The sequence below is a fragment of the Homo sapiens genome, chromosome 15 (genome assembly GCF_000001405.40).
Source record: "Homo sapiens chromosome 15, GRCh38.p14 Primary Assembly".
NCBI classification, from domain to species: Eukaryota; Metazoa; Chordata; class Mammalia; order Primates; family Hominidae; genus Homo; species Homo sapiens.
In genome coordinates this window covers 74,049,905-74,068,831 of record NC_000015.10, presented here as the reverse complement: position 1 = coordinate 74,068,831, position 18,927 = coordinate 74,049,905, and the positions used below count along the sequence as shown (strand labels likewise).

The 18,927-nt window shown below is 48.1% G+C and overlaps 1 pseudogene, besides 1 other annotated feature; it reads right to left on the bottom strand.

Moving 5' to 3' along the window:
- Positions 2,793-3,294: an enhancer, noted in NCBI's record as "H3K4me1 hESC enhancer chr15:74357879-74358380 (GRCh37/hg19 assembly coordinates)". NCBI's record gives its function as "activates a minimal SCP1, AML or CMV promoter by ChIP-STARR-seq in primed H9 embryonic stem cells {active_cell/tissue: H9 hESC(primed)}" and the evidence as "EXISTENCE:reporter gene assay evidence [ECO:0000049][PMID:30033119]".
- DNM1P33 (dynamin 1 pseudogene 33) lies at positions 3,077-5,143 on the bottom strand (annotated as a pseudogene).

Below are 18,927 nucleotides of genomic sequence, written 5' to 3'. Positions count from 1 at the left end.
GGGTTTAAAATGGACTTCAAGTCCTGTTCTTGCCTTTTATTTTCTGAACTTGCCACTTTTGCATTCTTTGAGTTCAGTTTAAAGACAGTTTGAGTCCAATTTAGACCCTCGGGCTAGAAATCATACCACTGTTAATTAGCCACCTTATTTGGTCTAACAGTTTTTCTTTATAATTCTGAAACTGGGTTTACCTAATACATTGATAAATTATTTCAAAGGTATTTTTATAGTTCAATCACTTCACTTTTACCCTGATAAATATAAATGACTAGGAATGATCTTCAGCTAGCCTTTAGCACCTGCAACCAATCTGACAATAATGTGTTCATCAGGTACCTGTGGATTAAATCACACACCGGCATATTTAAGCTGAATGTCAGTCTGGAAAATGAATGTACTATATTAACTGAAATACCACTCTTTGTGTAGGTATTCTGTCATATATTTAAGAAAAATTAAATAGCATGTAAATCATATGACAACAACTTAAGTCTTTCTTCAAAGTGCATGTGGTCCTTTGCAATACCTCATTCAGCCAAGTATTTGTTCTCTTCCTCATTCAGTATAAGGCAGCGTTCAATTTGCTTAGAAGGCAACATTAGAAGGGTAGAGTTTAATCAGAAACATAGAATTTTAAAGTGTGGGTTCAACTGAATAAATTTGAATTTCTGTAGGAAGTAAAGAATTAAAAACCGATTTAAAGATTGCAATATATAATCATTTTTAAAGTATTTGATTAAATCTGATAGGTTTTCCAGAAATGAAAAAAAGTCAGTTCTAAAACCAAAGCTGATATTTAGAAAATGTGAAAATGTAAATCAGTCCTATCCATAATAGTTTCTCTAAAACTTTATCTTAAAGAGTCATTTTAAAAGAATATAACTATTCAAAAATGTAACTGCTATCTTAAGTTTTAAAATAAGTTAAGACATTTTAAAATATGAATACTGTAGTTTAAAAGAAAGAAACTGGGGGAAGGAAAAGTAGAGAAAGAAATGCCAATTCCAATGCAAAGCTTTATTTGCCAAGTTTTCTTAGAATGACTTTTACCAATTTATGAATTCTTGTAAACAGAATGTATAATGGAAATACTGAAACACTGTTGCCTAAAGTGGCATTATTCACTGCTACTGTGATGCTACTGTAATGTAATAAATTATTAAATTGTTGCAAAGTGCTGTTTTTGCCTTAAAATTTTGTGTGTCTTGAAAACTGTGGTGTTAAAGGTATTGAGACTGTGCAAATGCTGGGCACGCTTGGCATGAGATAATCGGTTTTTATTTTTATAAAATTTTAATGTAACCATGAAGTGTGTTTATTTGAAGAACACAAACCAAAGTTATGGGATAAAAAAGGTTGTGGGATGAAAAAGTTACAGGATAAAAAATGTTGTGGAAAGGTTGTGGCAAAAAAAGTTGTGGAAAAAACGTAAAAGTTTTATGAAAAGCTTAAAAAAAGGGCCGGGCTTGCTGGCTCACGCCTGTAATCCCAGCACTTTGGGAGGCCGAGGCGGGTGGATCACAAGGTCAGGAGATCGAGACCATCCTGGCTAACATGGTGAAACCCCATCTCTACTAAAAATACAAAAAAAAAAAAAAAAAAAAAAAAATTAGCTGGGCGTGGTGGCGGGCGCCTGTAGTCCCAGCTACTCGGGAGGCTGAGGCAAGAGAAAGGCGTGAACCTGGGAGGCGGAGCTTGCAGTGAGCCAAGATCGCGCCACTGCACTCCAGCCAGGGTGACTGAGCAAGACTCCATCTCAAAAAAAAAAAAAAAAAAGCTTAAAGTATTATGAAAAAGAAATTATGGGATTAAAAAATAAGTCATGGGATAAAAATAAATAAAAGCAGGCCCCTGTCAGCATAAGCCTGGAGAAGTGGGGCTGGAGTCTCTGTCCCTACCATGCTCCTACCACCCCCTCCCAGTCACCCCTTTACCATTAGGGTAGCAAGACAAGACCCCTGTCTAATGGGGGGAGAAAAACAGACCCTTTGCCACCTTGACCAGGGCTGAGTCCTTAAATTTCTGGATGATGATGATTATTATTTAAGAGCCAGAGGCTGGTAGAGCTGGTTTGTTTGGAGGAGGCCTCATGGCCTCCCTACTCTCACCGAAGCAACTTTTCCCTCAGGGGGCTCCCATCTTCTTATTCAGAGAGGCAGCTGAGGCGGGACAGTGGGGCTAACTGTAGAGCAGGTGAGGGCACAGGCTGCTGGGGTGGACCCCCTTCCGCAGTGTACATATAGTATCTGTGTGACATTTTGTATATTCCAGGGGGTAGGGCCACCCCCTGTATTGTACCTAGAGGAGGTTGGAGCTGGCATATGAGGAGGAGGTTCTAATCACTATTTGTGGCTGGGAAACTTATTTATTGATAGCATAGGACAGAGGAAGGAGGCGGGGATGGGGTTGTGGCTCCCTGGTGATGTGACTCCCGTTTATTTTGCTTTTCATTTTGGAGTAAATGGATTTAGCCATACTGCTCAGCCTGGTGGATTCCCGTGTCCCTCACTGGGTCCTGGAGTTTGTGCCACTGAACGAGGAGCCCTAGAGTGTCTGAGCATGTCCAGCTGGGCTCTTGGGGACCTTCCAGGCCTGTTACCTGTATGCTGCCTGGTGACACCTGGTGGATTTCACAGGGACTGCCATGGCGCCTATAGGGCACAGTCCCGCCCTGACAGCCAACAGCCTCAGAAGCCTGATGTAGCAGTGGCCGGGAAGACAAATACCAGCACCCAAGGGCACTGACTTCCACCCCAGGCATCTTCCGTTCCATCCCCCTGCCTCCCTCGCCTGTCTGCACCCGGTGGCCTGTTCTGTCTGTCCCTCCAGTGTACCTGGTGGCCTGTTAGTGCTGGCTGCCCCGCAGGCTCCTCCAGGCTGAGTTCATGGCCCTGCCCCCTAGTGGCCAGAGCCGGCTTCGCAGGATAAAAGCCAGCTAAGCTCCAGGGGCTTTCCAGGAAAAGTGTCCCTTGGAAAGGGTGTGTGGCCTTTTCACTCCTCCCAACAGCACCCTAGAAATGGCTTGGCCTTTTCCCTCCCCTGCACTCCACAGAGAACACAGCTAGCAGAGGACACATTCCCCATCATCCAGAAATGGGTTTGATTCTCAGCCGAGGGACAGCAGGACTGGTAGAGACTGTCAGGCCACACAGCTGCCTGCACAGCACCCCCATTCTTGGTGGGGGGTGGGAGGGATGGCGGGGGCTGGCTGTCCACAGGCCGGACATGACAGGGAGGCTCACTGGAGGTGGCACACTTTGGAGGGGCAGTGTCAGGGGAGACCTTCGTCTTGTTGGGCCACAAGACTCCACAAGGACAGCACGGTGACAGATTCCCAGTGCTAGAGGCGAGGCGGTCAGCCATGTGTAGGTATATATACATATGAGTATTTATAGATATTTATAGAACAGGGCAGGGGCATACCACAGAGGGGGCACAAGTTTTCAGCAAGGGTCACACCTGGATGTGTCAGCTCACCACTACGACAGACTAAGTCACAGATGAAGGGGGCTGGCTTTGGGGCTGGGGAGCCACTGTCAAGTCACAGGACACCCGCCCAGGCAGGCTTGGAAAGGGAGGCCTCCGAGAAGAGGAGGATCTGTTTAGAGGTCAAAGTGGAACCTGGGGCTCTCAGGACAGGATGGACTTGCCTGACCTGATCACCTGGCAGTTGGAGAGAAAGCAAAGAGAAAACGGGAGAGAGAAAAGTGAGCAGAGAGCTGGTGAGGCAAGCACAGAGCACAGGCGTGCTGCAGCAGCTGTGGGAGGGCCGGGGAGGGGAGGACGCAGGTGCAGGTGTGGCAAGGTTCCTGGAAAAGAGAGGCTGGAAGGAAAAGGGGAGGAAGATGGAGGGAGGAGCCGGAGCTTCACAGGTAGTGCCTGGGGGCTGCGGCGGCCCTCCCCAGCCCACACACACTGGCCTCTCCCACGGCACCCAGGCAGTGCAGCCACAGTTCAGACCAATGCTCAGCCCCCTCCCTTCCAACCCACTGGCCCAAGGCCACCTCTCACCTTGGGGAGCCCCACCCAACAGCCACCAGGCCTGATAGAAAAGGAACACTGCTTGACCCAGGATGGTGAAGCTAAAAGGGATGGCTGGACTGGAGTGTGCCAGGGGCCCCTCTGGGTGGTCAGAAAGCCCAGGACCCTCTGAAAGGACCCTGGGGGAGGCAGGAAGGGCATATGCCACTGGCCATAGACTTATAAGTCTAAGAGGGGAGCCTCAGCTGGTTGTGGGGGCCTGCAGGTTGCATAGGTGAGCCTGGGCCCCTCCTGCTGGGAAAAGCAGAAGAGGGAGAGTCTGTGGCAGGGGAGGTGGGTGGGCTGGCTATGTGGAGCTCAGCTGGGCCAGCAGGGACTGTGGTCTCCTTGGCTGAATAGCACAGGTGACCCCTAAGAGCAACAGGCCAAGGTGAATGAGCCCGCTGGCTGGCGGTAGTGTTTCAGCAGGGGCCAGGGACCCTGCCTTCAGTCACACGCTAGCAGCTATGGTGGTACCTGGGAGGGAGGGAAGGGGGCTGTGTGTTCCTGCCTGGCCTGTGAGGTGTGTTGTGGGATGACCATGTGTATGGGACTCTCAAGATTTTATCCAGGATCACCACTGGATTGCCAACAGATAGAGGAGGTGGGACCCTGACTATCACCCCTGCTCTACAGTGGATTTGGCTCTCGGCACTCCCAGACTGGGAACTGGATACCCTGCCCTGGCAGCATGACTCAGACTGCACGACAGTTATGTTGTGCCCAGGTGACATTCCTAGGCCTCTGGCCGCCTCAGAGTCCAGCCCCACACACAACGCCCTCCACATTCCCAGCCCCTACACCATAAACCATGAGTTCTCTGCCCTCTCCGAGGACTCTAGAGAGCACCCACATCTGCCAACTTGGGCATGGAGCCTGTTCCAAGAGCCCACAGTCTTAGCCATGGAGGCTGGGGGGCTTTGGGGCCGTGGGGGCCAGCCCTGGTACCTGCATCCAGTAGGATGCTCTGCACCTGCAGTCAGGAGTTGTCCATGGGCCCCCGTGGGCGTGCTGATTGTGTTCATGACCGCTGTGCCTGCTCTGCCGACTCCTCCATCAGCATGTTCTTGTCCCCATGCAAGTACAGGTTGGCCAGCAGCTCCGAGAAGATAAACTCCTTGGTCTGAGAGTGGGCAAAGAGGGAAGGAGGTTGGGACCTGATGCCTGTGCCACCCTGGCCACGCCGCCAGGTCCTGCTGGGGCTGTACGCTGGACTTGGAGCCCCGGGTATGGCTTTTCAGATGCGGCTTCTACACTGCTTAGACTCGAAGACCCACCTCCCCACCGCTTTTTCTCACTCAGATGGGGACACTGAGGTCCAGAGGAAAAGTCACCTGCCCAAGGTCACAGATCTGGGAGGGGACCCAGGACCTATCATGCCACCAGGACACCTGTCTACTCAGTTTTTAATTTTTGGAGATAGGATCTCGCTCTGTCACCAGGCTGGAGTACAGTGGGTGAGATCACTGCTCACTGCAGCCTCAACCTCCTTGGCTCAAAGTGATCCTCCAAGGCTAGCCTGTTGAGTAGCTAGGATTACAGGCACGTGCCACCACCAGGCCCAGCTATTTTTAAAATTTTTTTGTAGAGACCAGGTCTCACTATGTTGCCCAGGCTGGTCTCAAACTCCTGGGCTCAAGCGATCCTTCCGCCTTGGCCTCCCAAAGTGCTGGGATTACAGGCATGGGCCACTGTGCCCAGTCCCACGTTATAGTTCTATGGGACAGCTCTGGTCTGGACCGTGCCCCTCTCCCTGCACCTGGTCCCATAGGGCTGGTTGTCATCTCTGCCAGGCCAACACGGCCACCTGTGTCCCCAGTGCTACAGGAGCCCCTGCCCCCATGAGGTGGTGCATGCACGTTGTTGATCATGAGGTGCATGATGGTCTTGGGCGTGAGACCAACCATGAGGTCCCACACGGTCTTGTTGACAATGGTCACATAGGAGTCCACCAGGCTCTGAGTGGTCTCCATTTGCTGCTCCAGCTGTGGGTCCATGGAGTGCATGAAGCTGTCGGAGACATTCTCCTCAGCCTTGCTGGCCTGCCATGGAGAGCACGAGGGCATCAGGGCGGCCAGGCCATGCAGCCAGGCTCCAGGCATCCCCAGGATCTCAGTCCCTCCAAGGGTACCTGGAACATTGAGGCACAGGGAGAAACAACTGGCCAGATCACACACCCAGCTCCCCACACGATCTAGAGGGTTTCAGGTCTCGGCCTCTCAGGACCCCAGACTCTCCCGATTCAGCCTCATCTTAGTTCTGACTCTAGTACCCAGAATTTGTCTCCATTTCCCAATCCAGAAATTGGAAAAGAACATCTCCAGGTCCCTTACTTGAAGACCTGGCCAGAGCTGGTGCCAGGTTACAGACGCCTGGCAGGAGGCAAGAGAAGGGCACACTCACATTCCCCTTGTCCTGGGAGGCCCACACCCCAACATTGCCGCCACCGCTGCCACCTGGGATCACAGCCACCTGGGATCACAGGAAAAGGGGAAGGGTTGAGTGAAGCTGGGACACTGCACCCCAACTTTAATGTGTTGATGAATTCAATTTGCTAATATTTTGTGGAGGATTTTTGCATCAATATTCATCAGTGATATTGGCCTGTAGTTCTCTGTTTTGGATGTATCTTTGGTTTTGGTATCAGGGTAATACTAGCCTTGTAGAATGAGTTTGGAATAGTTGGGTAAGGCCTCTAGTTTTGGAATAGTTTGGGTAAGGTTGGTATGAGTTCTTCTTTTAATGTTTGGTAGAATTCAGCAGTGAAGCACCAGGTCCCAGGCTTTTCTTCGCAGGGAGACTTTTTATTACCGCTTTGATGTCATGATTTCTTATTGGTCTGTTCAGGTTTTGGATTTCATCACGGTTCAATCTTGGCAGGCTGGATGTGTCTAGAAATGTATCCATTTTTAGTAGGTTTTCCTATTTCTTTGCATACATTGCTTATAACAGCCACTAGTGAGCCTGTGAATTTTTGCGGTATCAGTTGTAATTTTCCTTTTTCATCTTAGATTTTATTCACTTGTGTCTTCTTTTTGTCTTAGTCTTACTTAGGCTAAAAGTTTGTCAACATTATTTATCTCTTCCAAAACCCAACTATTCTTTTCATTGATGCTTTTTCTTCATTTCAATTTCATTTATTTCTGCTCTGATCTTTATTATTTCTTTTCTTCTAGTAATTTTGCGTTTGCTTTGTTCTTGCTTTTCTATTTCTTTAAGGTGCATTGTTGTTTATTTGATGCTTTTCAACTTTTTAAAAGTAGGTGTTTATAGCCATAAAGTTCCCTCTTAGTACTGCTTTTGTCGTATCCCATAGGTTCTGGCATGTTGTGTTTCCATTATCATTTAAGAAATGTTTCAATTTCCTTCTTAATTTCTTCATTGACCCACTGGTCATTCCAGAGCATATTATTTCATCTCCATGTGGTTGTATAGTTTCCAACATTTCTCCTGTTACTAACTTCTAGTTTTATTCCATTGTGATCAGAGAAGATATTTGATATTATTTCATTTTTTTCTAATGTTTTAAGACATGTTGTGTGACCTAAGATATGGTCTATCCTTGAGAATGATCCATGTGCTGAGGGAAAAAAAATGTGTATTCTGTAGCCCAAGGGAGAAGACACCTGCCCCCACTCTGCTGCAACACACAGCGCTCTGCTCAGGGATGGGGCAGTGGAGTGCTGTTGTTACACAAGGGGCTCTCTGTCGGGGAGGGAACAGAAGTCTGTTCTGTAGTGTTTGCCATTTCCATGGTGCAAATCTTCCATGGCTGATTTCAAGCTGCCACCATCTTCTCAGCCTGGGCTTGTTTGTACCCACCCTTGGGAAGGCTTTCCAGGTATTTGAAAGGATGTGGGTGTTGTGATCTCAACTGTATCTTTATTAGATACACTCCAAGCCCAGTTATGCTATGGTTCTTGCAGACTCATAGAGGAACTGCCTTGGTAGTCTCGGATAAGATCTGGAAGAATTCTCTGGGCTACCAGGCAATAGAGACTCTTATTCTTTACCTGTAGTTTCTCTCCAAAAACAGTCTCTGTCTCTGTCTCTCTCTCTGTCTTCCTCCCTCCCTCTCTCTCTGCTGAGCCACTTGGAGCTGGGGGTGAGCTGACACAACATCCCTATGGCCACCACCACTGGGACTGCACTGGGTCAGACCTAAAGCCAGCAAAGCACTGGGTCTCACTCAGGGCCCACTGTCAACACTACCTGGCTATCGTCTATGTTCACTCGAGGCCCTGGGGCTCTACCGTCAGCATGTGGCAAAGCCAGCCAGGCTTGTCTTTCTCTTCAGGGCAACGAGTTTCCTCAGGCCCTGGCGGGTCCAGAGATGCTGTCTGGGGTCAAAAACCTTAGAAATTTACCTGGTGCTTTATTCTAAGGTGGCTGAGCTGACACTGAAACCATGAGACAAAGTCCTTCCCACTCTGCCTTTCCCTTTCCACAGGCAGAGGAGCCTCACCCTGTGGCCACCACCACAGGTGCACAGGGAGTGCTGCCAGGCTACTGTCGATGTTCTCTTAGGGCCCATGGGCTCTTAAGCCCACTTCCAGGCCTGGGGCTCACCCTTCAGGGCAGTGGGCTCCCCTCTGTCTCAGGGCAGGTCCAGAAATGCTGTCTAAGAGCCAAGGCCTAGAATCAGTGACCACAAGAGCCCATTTGGTGCTTTCTACCCCATTGTGGCCAGACAGGTACCTAAGCTGCAAAACAAAGTCCCTTTTACCTTTCCCTCTGCTTTTCTCAAGCAGAAGAAATCTCTCACCACAGCCACCATAGCTGGGAATGTGCTGGGTCTCACCTGAAGCCAGCCACCTCACAGGGGGAATGATTGGTAGAGACTACTGTTCAGCCATCTTGCTCTGCCCCTCCTCCCTCACTTAACTTTACCTCCTAAGAGCCCTGTTTCCAAATACAATCATATAGTGGGTTAGGGCTCCAAGTATGAACTTTTGGGAGACACAATTCAGTCTATAGCATTTGGACTTGGGAAGAGGGAGGAAAAGAACACGCACAGGAAGGTCACAGTGTAAGCAACAGTATGGAGGTGGGAAAGTTCAGCTCATGGATAGGAAAAATTGATCCAAGTTGGCAGGGCCCACAGGGAGATGTGGTGCGGTGGTGAGTGGCGGCCACATCAAAAGAACCTTGAATGCCAGGCTGAGGTGGGAGGCATTTCCTGTTGTGTAGAAGATGCCATGAGGTGGTGAGGAGGGTAACATGATGAAAGGACATTTGGGAGGATGGATCTGGCATCAGTGATGGGTGGGGATAAGGGGTGAACAAAGCTGGAGGCCAGGAAACTGGACACATGGCCCAGAGTTCAGGCTTAGGCTGTTCAAATGTAGTTTCCACACTGAGTTCCCATGTGGATCCAAGCATGCAGCGGGTAGATGATTTGGAAAAGCAAAACCATTCTCTTCCCATTACCACAGAGTTTCCCAGTTGAGTTCATCACCAGAGTCCTACACATCAGTCGACCTGCCCCAAACTCTGTCCCTAGAGGCTGTGACCCAGAGGGAGCCCTTGTCCAGCTGTAGCCCGGGGACACTGCAGCCTGAGCAGGACTGCACCTGTTCCCTCCCAGGAGCCTTATCTCTGTCTAGCCAGGCTTTGGCTTCAAATGCCCTCAGCTTTGGCTTCAAAACCTCCTGGGTCAGATTCATGAGGGATCTGGTCTTCTTTGGTTTAGGGATTTTTAAATAGCTTTTTCAAGCAGGCAGTAGATCAACTCTGCTTGGTTACCTCTAAGAACTGGCTACAACTCACAGAGATCTATTATACTTATAGCTGTGGTTTGATTACATGGAAAGGATACAGATTAAAATCAGCCAGGGGAAGAAAGGCATAGGGCTGAGTCCAGGAGGGCACCAGGCATAGGGCTGAGTCCAGGAGGGTACCATGCACAGAGTGTCCATTATCCCTTCCCCATGCAGTCAGAGTGCACTGCCTTCCCAGCTTTGCTATGTGCCAATACACATGGAGTATTCCCAGCCAGTGAGGCTCCCTCAAGCCTCAGTGTTCAGGGTTTTTACTGGAACTTCATCACAGAGGCATGCTTGATTGTCCATGTGGCTGCTCTCAGTTTCCAGTCTCCTGTCCTTCCAGGGATGACCTAAAGCCCAGACTCTAAATCACTTAGTTGCTTTTCCTGGCCTGGCTAGTCCCCACCCTAACTATTATTATTAGACCAGCCATCATGAGTTAAGATCCCCACGCAAACATATTCCTATCAGGTATTACATGTTGACAGTTACGTCCCAGGAGTCTAGGACAAAGGCCAGACCTCTTTTTTGGTCAATGTTAACTTTTATTTGAAACTATACAACATGCCATCACCCTGTTATCCTTTCTATCTTCAAAATAACCCTAATTGGTGGGTAAGGATGTTTATTATTATAAACAAGATCTCAAGAGGGAAGATGCTTGGGCAAGGTTGCACAGTTGATCCTGGACTCATGGTATGAGACTCTTTCCACTCTCTGAGAGCCCCGAGTCCTGAGAAGATGATGGAAACAAGGTGTGTATATGTGTGTGTGCACGTGTGTGTTTGTGTAAATGTATATCTAATGAGTATGTGTGGATATGTGTATGTCTCTGTGTGTATACATTTGGATGTCTGTGTGTGTATATGCATGTTTGTGTGTGTGTGTGTGTGTGTGTGTGTGTGTGTACAGTGGTGTACACCTGTAATGCCAGCTACTCAGGAGGCAGACAGGGGAAGATCACTTGAACCCAGGAGTTTGAGAGAGAGAGAAAATTTCAATGACCTTTTTCTTGCAGTTAGAAGATAAAACCCGGGGCTGGGCATAAAGAGACAAAGCACAGCGTACAGAGGCAGAGAAATGTCTAATAAAAACAAGTGACCAAGAATTAATTAGTTCATCTATAAAGAAATATAGCACTTAAGCAGCAGATTAAAACTGGAAGATAATTTCCTCTAGAACCCTGATAATCTTTGTGAGAAAACTGTTGGCCACATATGTTAATTGCCAAAACTCACAGGGCCCTGTGCAACAGAATTGGGGAGAAAAACCACCTTTTTTAAACTCACTATGCTACAAGCAGCATTCAACTCTTTCTCAATTAAGATTTCACAAACCTACCTCCAGCTTCCAGATGGTGAGGGAAAGTGTGATCAGATTTTACGATAAATTGTGCCTGTCTCTGAGCCCATCTCCTCCCATTGAAGAGAAGGAAAATGAGGTGAGCGCATTACAGCCCTGCCTGACAAAAGTCACAAGGGAAGCAAATGATTATTATTTAAAACCAGAGAGTCCTATAATTTATTCATGAATGCTACACATTCTGTATCAGATCTTCCATTTTGATTTACTTGTATTCTTTGAAGCAAATTTATAAGATTCAAATTATTCAGAAAATGCTCCCAGGTAAATAGAAGAAAACACTTTAACCACATGAAGTATCATGCTACACAATATGGTGTGGTGGTGAAGGGTGCAGGCTCTAAAACCAGAAAACAGGTTCAAGTCCTGGCCCTACCACCTTGGCAAGGTTACATGGTCTCTCTGTGCCTCCATTTCCCCATCTAAAATGTGGGAATGACAATAATAGTGTCTATTTCACAGAGCTGTTTTGAGGAAAATAATATATGTAAAGCACTGTGAACAGCAGTCAGTGCTATATAAGTGTTTGCTCTAGTTATTTTAACATTTCAGATGATAAATATCTACCCTGTTATTCAGATGACAAGCGTCCCTAAGCTGATAACATGATGAAGAGCTTTTGGGTTTCTTAATTTCCATCAGTTTTGTGAGGGAAAAAATACCACATGAAGAAGAGCAACTGAAGCAGGCGTGAGGAGGAAACTTGGCTTAAGATTGGGGGGCTTGGGGTTATTAGGCTTTCATCTTCTAAAATGTCCTAAGCTCCACTGATAAGAAGACGCTTAGTATCAATCTAGCTAAAAAGGACCAATAGGCCCCAAAAGACACTGAGTTAGAGACAAAAATAGAAGGGTAATAAATGAAATATGGAAAACTACACAACCAGAAAAATAAACAGCTACCAGTACCCAAAACGTGGCTAAATCTCACAGGATTCTGTTGAATGAAAGAAGCCAGCCACAAACGCGCACATACTGAATGATCCCATTTATATGAAGTTCAAGAACAGGCAAAACTAATCCATGGTGACAGAGGTCAGGATCCTGGTTAACTGTGAGGGGACAGCAACTGAGAAGGGGCAAGAGGGAGCCCTCTGTGCTGATGGGAACATCCTGTATCTTGAGCTGAGTGTTGGTTACATGAGTGTGCACATATGTAAATACTATTGAGTTGACTGGGCGTGGTGACTCACACCTGTAATCCCAGCACTTTGGGAGGCCTAGGCAGGTGGATCACTTGAGGTCAGGAGTTCAAGACCAGCCTGGTCAACATGGTGAAACCCCATCTCTACTACCATACAAAAATTAGCCAGGCGTGGTGGCAGGCGCCTATAATCCCAGCTACTCAGGAGGCTGAGGCTGGAGAATCACTTGAACCCGGGAGGCAGAGGTTGCAGTGAGCCAAGATCTTGCCACTGCACTCCAGTCTGGGCAACAGAGCAAGACTCCATCTCAAAAACAAAAAACAAACCAAAAAACGATAGTACAAAGTTGTAACTTTAGGTATATGCACCTCACTGTATGTAAGATACTGTCTTAGTCCATTTGTGGTGTTATAACAAAATATCTGAGACTGGGTAACGGGTAAAGAAAAAAAATGTGTTTCTCACAGTTTTGGTGTCTGAGAAGTCCAAGATCAAGGGGCCAGCAGGCTTGTAGTCTCGCAAGGGCTGCTCCTGCTTCCAAGATGGCACCTTGAACAGTGTCCTAACATGGTGGAAAGGACAGAAAAACAAAAGAAAACAGAGCTAGGTAGTTCCCTCAAGCCCTTTCATAAGGTCACTAACCCCATTCATGAGGGGGCTCCTCCCTTACAGCTTAGTCATCTCCTAGACTCCACCTCTTAATTCTATCACATTGGGGATTAAGTTCCAGTATGAATTTTAAAGGAGACACAATCATTCCAACCATAGCAAATATGCTTTACTAAAAAAAAAAAAAAAAAAAAAAAAAAAAAAGGAATACCTTGTCTCTAAACATAATATTTTAAGAGTTTATATATTTATAGCCCAATTTTCCACTTGCTTAATGACGACGAGTGTCATTCTTAGCTGAGAAAAGTTTCAGTAAATTATTTTTCTCACATTATCTATTAATATCTTATTCAGATAAAACCAAATTTCTAACCTGGATTTTAGGTTAAGACAGGAACCATAGTCATTTGTTGCAATGTGAGAATGACAAGAGAGAGATATTAACTAGCAGAATCCAACTATAAAACTAAATTTAACGGCACAGTTCTCTACTAATGACTCCCCTAGACAAATCATTACTTGGATATCAATGAATCAACTAAAAATGGACGTGAAAACAGTTCGAGTCCTTTTTGCAATGGATGGATGTTTTCAAGACTATTAAGTGAAGAGGGTTCAGAAACAAGGGGATAAATGGCATGCTAATTTGGGGTTGAATGGAGTAATGAGATGATCTTGGAAATACAAGAATCCTGCTTAATGGGACTTGTCTACTTGCAATTCAATAAACCAATATACGTAAATTAAAAGAGACGAAGGAAATGAGCACTCAGAACAAAATTACAGGAATAGGGCCGGGCACAGTGGCTCATGCCTGTAATCCCAGCACTTTAGTAAGCTGAGGCGGGCAAATCACCTGAGGTCAGGAGTTTCTGACCAGCCTGGCCAACGTGGTGAAGCCCCGTCTCTACTAAAAATACAAAAATTAACCAGGCATGGTGGCGCGTGCCTATAGTACCAGATACTTGGGAGGCTGAGGCAGGAGAATGGCATAAAACCAGGAGGCAGAGCTTGCAGTGAGCCGAGATTGCACCATTGCACTCCAGCCTGCACGACAGAGCGAGACTCCGTCTCAAAAAAAAAAAAAAATTACAGGAATACATTTAGCAAAGAGGCACCAAAATTGAGATAAGAGCCACTGTCCCACCTGTGACATCTTCTGACATCTTTCATTCTTGAGTCATGGGGGTTGCAAGCCAGGGAACAGAGTCTTCTGCCTGGAAGCTAAAACCAGGTTTTGGGGTAGGTTCAGAGAGACTGTTCAGACTGAATATGCATGTTGCCAGGTCAAAAATATCCCGATTGCAAGAGCATTTGCAAAGACAATGGTGCTCAGGGAAAGATAATGCTGTGTGTTTAAAAGGGAAAAAAATTAAAAGAATGGAAACAAAGAAGAAAAAGTGACCGGAGGGTAGGGTGACCATATGTTCTGGTTTGCAAGGTACAGCTAAAGTTATGTCTGCTGTCCTCGTGCAATTATTATAGTGCCCCTTTCACTCTCTTAAGTGTCTGGATTTGGATGATAAAGCATATGATCACCCTACCAAAGACAGGAAGTTAGCCAGAAGACCCATGTATCCATTTTAAACGGTGCGGCCTGATCTGTAGTCACGCTCATGCTGCTGCGCAGCTGAGCGCTCTGCACCACCTCTGCCTCGCCCTACCACGCCCTGCCTGGGTCTCCTGGAAGGCTGGAGCGGAACCCACGATCCTGCGCTGCTCTGGTGCCACCTGCAGGTTACATGGGGGAACTGCTTCTCCACCACCCCCACCCCCCTCTACCCCCACCCTCCTCCACCCCCACCCCACTATCCTCCACGCCGCCTCCCCACCCCACCCCAACCCTCGACAGCCATGGACTTGGCCAAAAGACATTCAGAGCAAGTGAAGCCCTGCCTGGGGAGTTGGCTGGAGCCAACAAAAGCCCGCGTTACACAATCAGACCAGCCCACTTTAAACTAACAAAGCCAAGCTCCTCTTCCTACCCACTCCTGTCCTGTCTCATTTTGTAGATGGTAAACTGAAGCCTAATTCAGAATTTTCATTGGCATTGTGTCCAGAAATGGTGGGTTCTTGGTCTCACTGACTTAAAGAATAAAGCCACAGACCCTCGCGGTGTGTGTTACAGTTACACGCCTCGCGGCGTGTCCAGAGTTTGTTCCTTCTGGTGGTGGGCGTTTGTTCTTTCTGGGGGGTTCGTGGTCTTGCTGGCTCAGGAATGAAGCTGCAGACATTTGCCGTGAGTGCTACAACTCTTAAGGTGGTGCTTCTGGACTTGTTCCTTTCTCCAGGGGGGTTGGTGGTCTCGCTGGCTTCCGAAGTGAAGCTGCAGACCTTCGCCGTGAGCCTTACAGCTCATAAAGTCACCGTGAACTGAAAAAGCAAGCGGTAACAAGATTTATTTCAAAGACCAAAAAAAACAAACCCCCACAACGTCAAAGGGAATCTAAGCATCATTGCCACTGCTGGCTGGGGCGGGGGGGGGCGGGGGGGGCAGCCTGCTTTTATTCTCTTACCTGGCCCTACCCACATCCTGCTGATTGGTCCATTTTACAGAGAGCTGATTGGTCCGTTTTGACAGGGTGCTGATTGGTGTGTTTACAATCCCTGAGCTAGACACAAAAGTTCTCTATGTCCCCACTAGATTAGCTAGATACAGAGTGTGGATTGGTGTATTTACAAACCCTGAGCTAGACACAGAGTGCTGATTGGTGCATTTACAAACCTTGAGCTAGATACAGAGTGCCGATTGGTGCATTCACAATCCCTTAGCTAGACATAAAGGTTCTCCAAGCCCCCACCAGAGTAACTAGATACAGAGTGCCCATTGGTGCATTCACAAACCCTGAGCTAGACACAGCGTGCTGATTGGTGTGTTTACAAACCTTGAGCTAGAGACAGGGTGCTGATTGGTGTATTTACAATCCCTTAGCTAGACATAAAGATTCTCCAAGTCCCCACCAGACTTAGGAGCCCAGCTGGCTTCACCCAGTGGATCCCGCACGGGGGCCGCAGGTGGAGCTGCCTGCCAGTCCCGCGCCGTGCGCAGGCACTCCTCAGCCCTTGGGTGGTCGATGGGACTGGGTGCCATGGAGCAGGGGGTGGCGCTCGTCCTGGAGGCTCCGGCCGCACAGGAGCCCATAGCGGGGCGGTGGGGGGAGGCTCAGGCGTGGAGGGCTGCAGGTCCAGATCCCTGCCCCGCGGGGAGGCAGCTAAGGCCTGGCGAGAAGTCGAGCACAGCAGCTGCTGGCCCAGGTGCTAAGCCCCTCACTTGCGGGGGGCTGGCGGGGCCCGCTGGCCGCTCCCAGTGCTGGGCCTGCGGACCATGCCCACCCGGAACTCGCGCTGGCCCACAAGCGCCGCGCGCAGCCCCGGTTCCTGCCTGCGCCTCTCCCTCCACACCTCCCCGCAAGCTGAGGGAGCCGGCTCTGGCCTCGGCCAGCCCAGGAAGGGGCTCCCACCATGCAGTGGCGGGCTGAAGGGCTCCTCAAGTGCCGCCAAAGTGGGAGCCAAGGCAGGGGAGGCCCGAGAGCGAGCCAGGGCTGCCAGCAGGCTGTCACCTCTCAGTAGGATTGTGAAGCATACAGCTGGAGCTTCCCAGGTGACATTCCCCACATCTGTCTTTCCCCTAACACTTTAGGGTAGTGGGGAAGCAAGAGAGCTTAAGCTTACTAAGCTCCTACCGTGTACTGGCCAGAGTGGGCACTTTTCTTTCCAGCCTTGCAATTGATGGGAAATAGGTGATTGTACAAATAGGATACAGGATCAGAGTGGGCTGGCGATGTGCTCACAGTCTCTCAGCTGAAACTGGAATCCAGGAGTCTTTGACTCTAAAGCTAGTGCTCGTTTTGGGTCTCCAGCTTAAGCAATAGTTGCAAAATGCAAAGAGCACCATGAAAATCTAATATTGATCCATGTAAGACTGTATTGCAAACAGAAACATGGAGTGACTTCGTGGGGGGTGACGGCGAGATGGGGAGATTATCTCAGGTCTATGTAACCTGGGAAGTCTCCGAGAAAAATGAATGAAGCATGACTAAGTGCAATTTGTCTGATAAACAAAATCTGTCAGAACGTGGGGCTTTGTGGGTCCTGAGTGAAGGTGAACCCATAGTGCTGGATATTTGCTAAGGTGTTCTTTATAAAATCACTCAGGGCCTCAGTGCCTCCACCTTCTTCATGACCCTAGGTCCACTTGCCTCGGCCTCCCAAAGTGCTGGGATTACAGGCATGAGCCACTGCGCCCAGCTGGTTGGTCTGACTTACTGTGCAATCAATCCACCCTGGGGTCGGCCAGGGCTTTAAGGCTCTAGAACTGTAGGAGATAGTCAGTGCTCCTGAATTCCACCCCCAGGCCTTCTGCACTCAGTCTGAGAGGAATGATTTCAGGAAATCAGACAAGCAACACAGGATTTCACAATATCTCATACTTGTCTGACTGGCTAGCATTTTGGAAAATTTCTGCGGTTAGCTAGCTAGCTTTTGTAATGTGCTTGGCTATCAAGTTTGGGATATTTATAATATTTATAAACTGAATTTAGCACAGTCCAGGCAGCTGGTCTTAGTTTAAGGAAGTTCCTTGAGCCAAGAATGAAGGAATTTTCCCCTCACTTGACAGCAAATGCATTTTGTAAGGGTGAACAGAGACGTCCAAACTTCCTGTTTTTTGTTTTTGTTTGTTTGGTTGTTTCATTTTGTTTTTGTTTGTTTGCTTTTAGTATGGGGAGAATCTGTTGAAATTCTAGACTCTTCTCTCAACAGAGTCTCCACAGGTATTTGCTTTATTCAGGTCCAGCGGGTCTGGAGCTGACATCTGGATTCAGAGACAAAAATAAGTGACGGTACTGGCCCCATTCCTCCCCTAGCCCCAGGCTCAGCCTGTGCCTGTGCCTGGGACCAGGACCAAGGCCACTACAGGCGAGTGTGTTCTCAGAAACCTGGATCTCCATTCCCTTCCATCTCCCTCCATCTGGCCCACCTAGTCTCCACCCACATAGAGGTGCAGCCCGCATCCCACCCACTCCTTCCCGTGACCACTTCTTACCTACATTGTAACGGGGTGGGGCCTTACCCTAAATCATGCATTCTCAACAGAGGCATTATCACCCCACAGAGGATGAAAAGGCAGGGGAGGAAGGGCAGTTGACCATCTTGGCTATTACCATGGTTTCTGACCCTCCAAAGGCTCACAGTCCATACATATGTCCATGTAAGGAAGAAGTAAAACCATCTCTATTCGCAGATGATGCGATCTTGTATCTAGAAAATCCTATGGAATGTACAGTGTATCTATGGTATTAAAATTTCATACAGGGAGGCACAATTGGGAAAAGATGCTAAAAATGCTCCTTAAGAGGACAATAATAATAATTATAAAAAGGTCCAGAAACACTGCCCTAAATGAAAAAATTAAAATGAAAGTTCAAGCACAGGGATGAGAAGGTGGGGGTAGCTTCCAGAGACCTGCCTTCTGCATCACCTGAGACTGACAACTCAGGAGAGCACAGAAAGGAGAGAAGGAGAGACCAGGCAGCCTGTCCCCCAACACGTGGCCATGCGCTCCATGATGTAGGCCACAGATGGTGCCAGTCTAGACACAGGCTCCCCGCAGGCAAATCCCAGCTCTGCCACATACAAGTTTAATGACCCTGACGAGGTACTCAGCCTTGCTGCCCTGCTGTGCTCCTCTGTAGGAGGAAGATGGGCTGTAACCACATAGGACAGTTGGGAAGATTAAAGGTTACTTGTGCTAAATGGTGAAATCGTGTCTGGTACCCAGTTGTCTTACCTGGTTGTCCCATGCTCTCCCTCCTGGGCAGGATTGCCCACTCCTCAGTCCCTCCAATCCGATTGGTGTACATTGACCTTGTTGGAGTTGTGAGCTCAGGCAGAGCCCCTGCCAGGTGCTTCTAGAAGAGGATTTGGGGGAAAAGGCAGATTGAACTTGGGGTGCCTATTAGGGGGTCGAGAAGCTCCTGCCCATCTGTTCACAGTTCCATGGACTTTTCAGTTACTAAAGTCACAAAG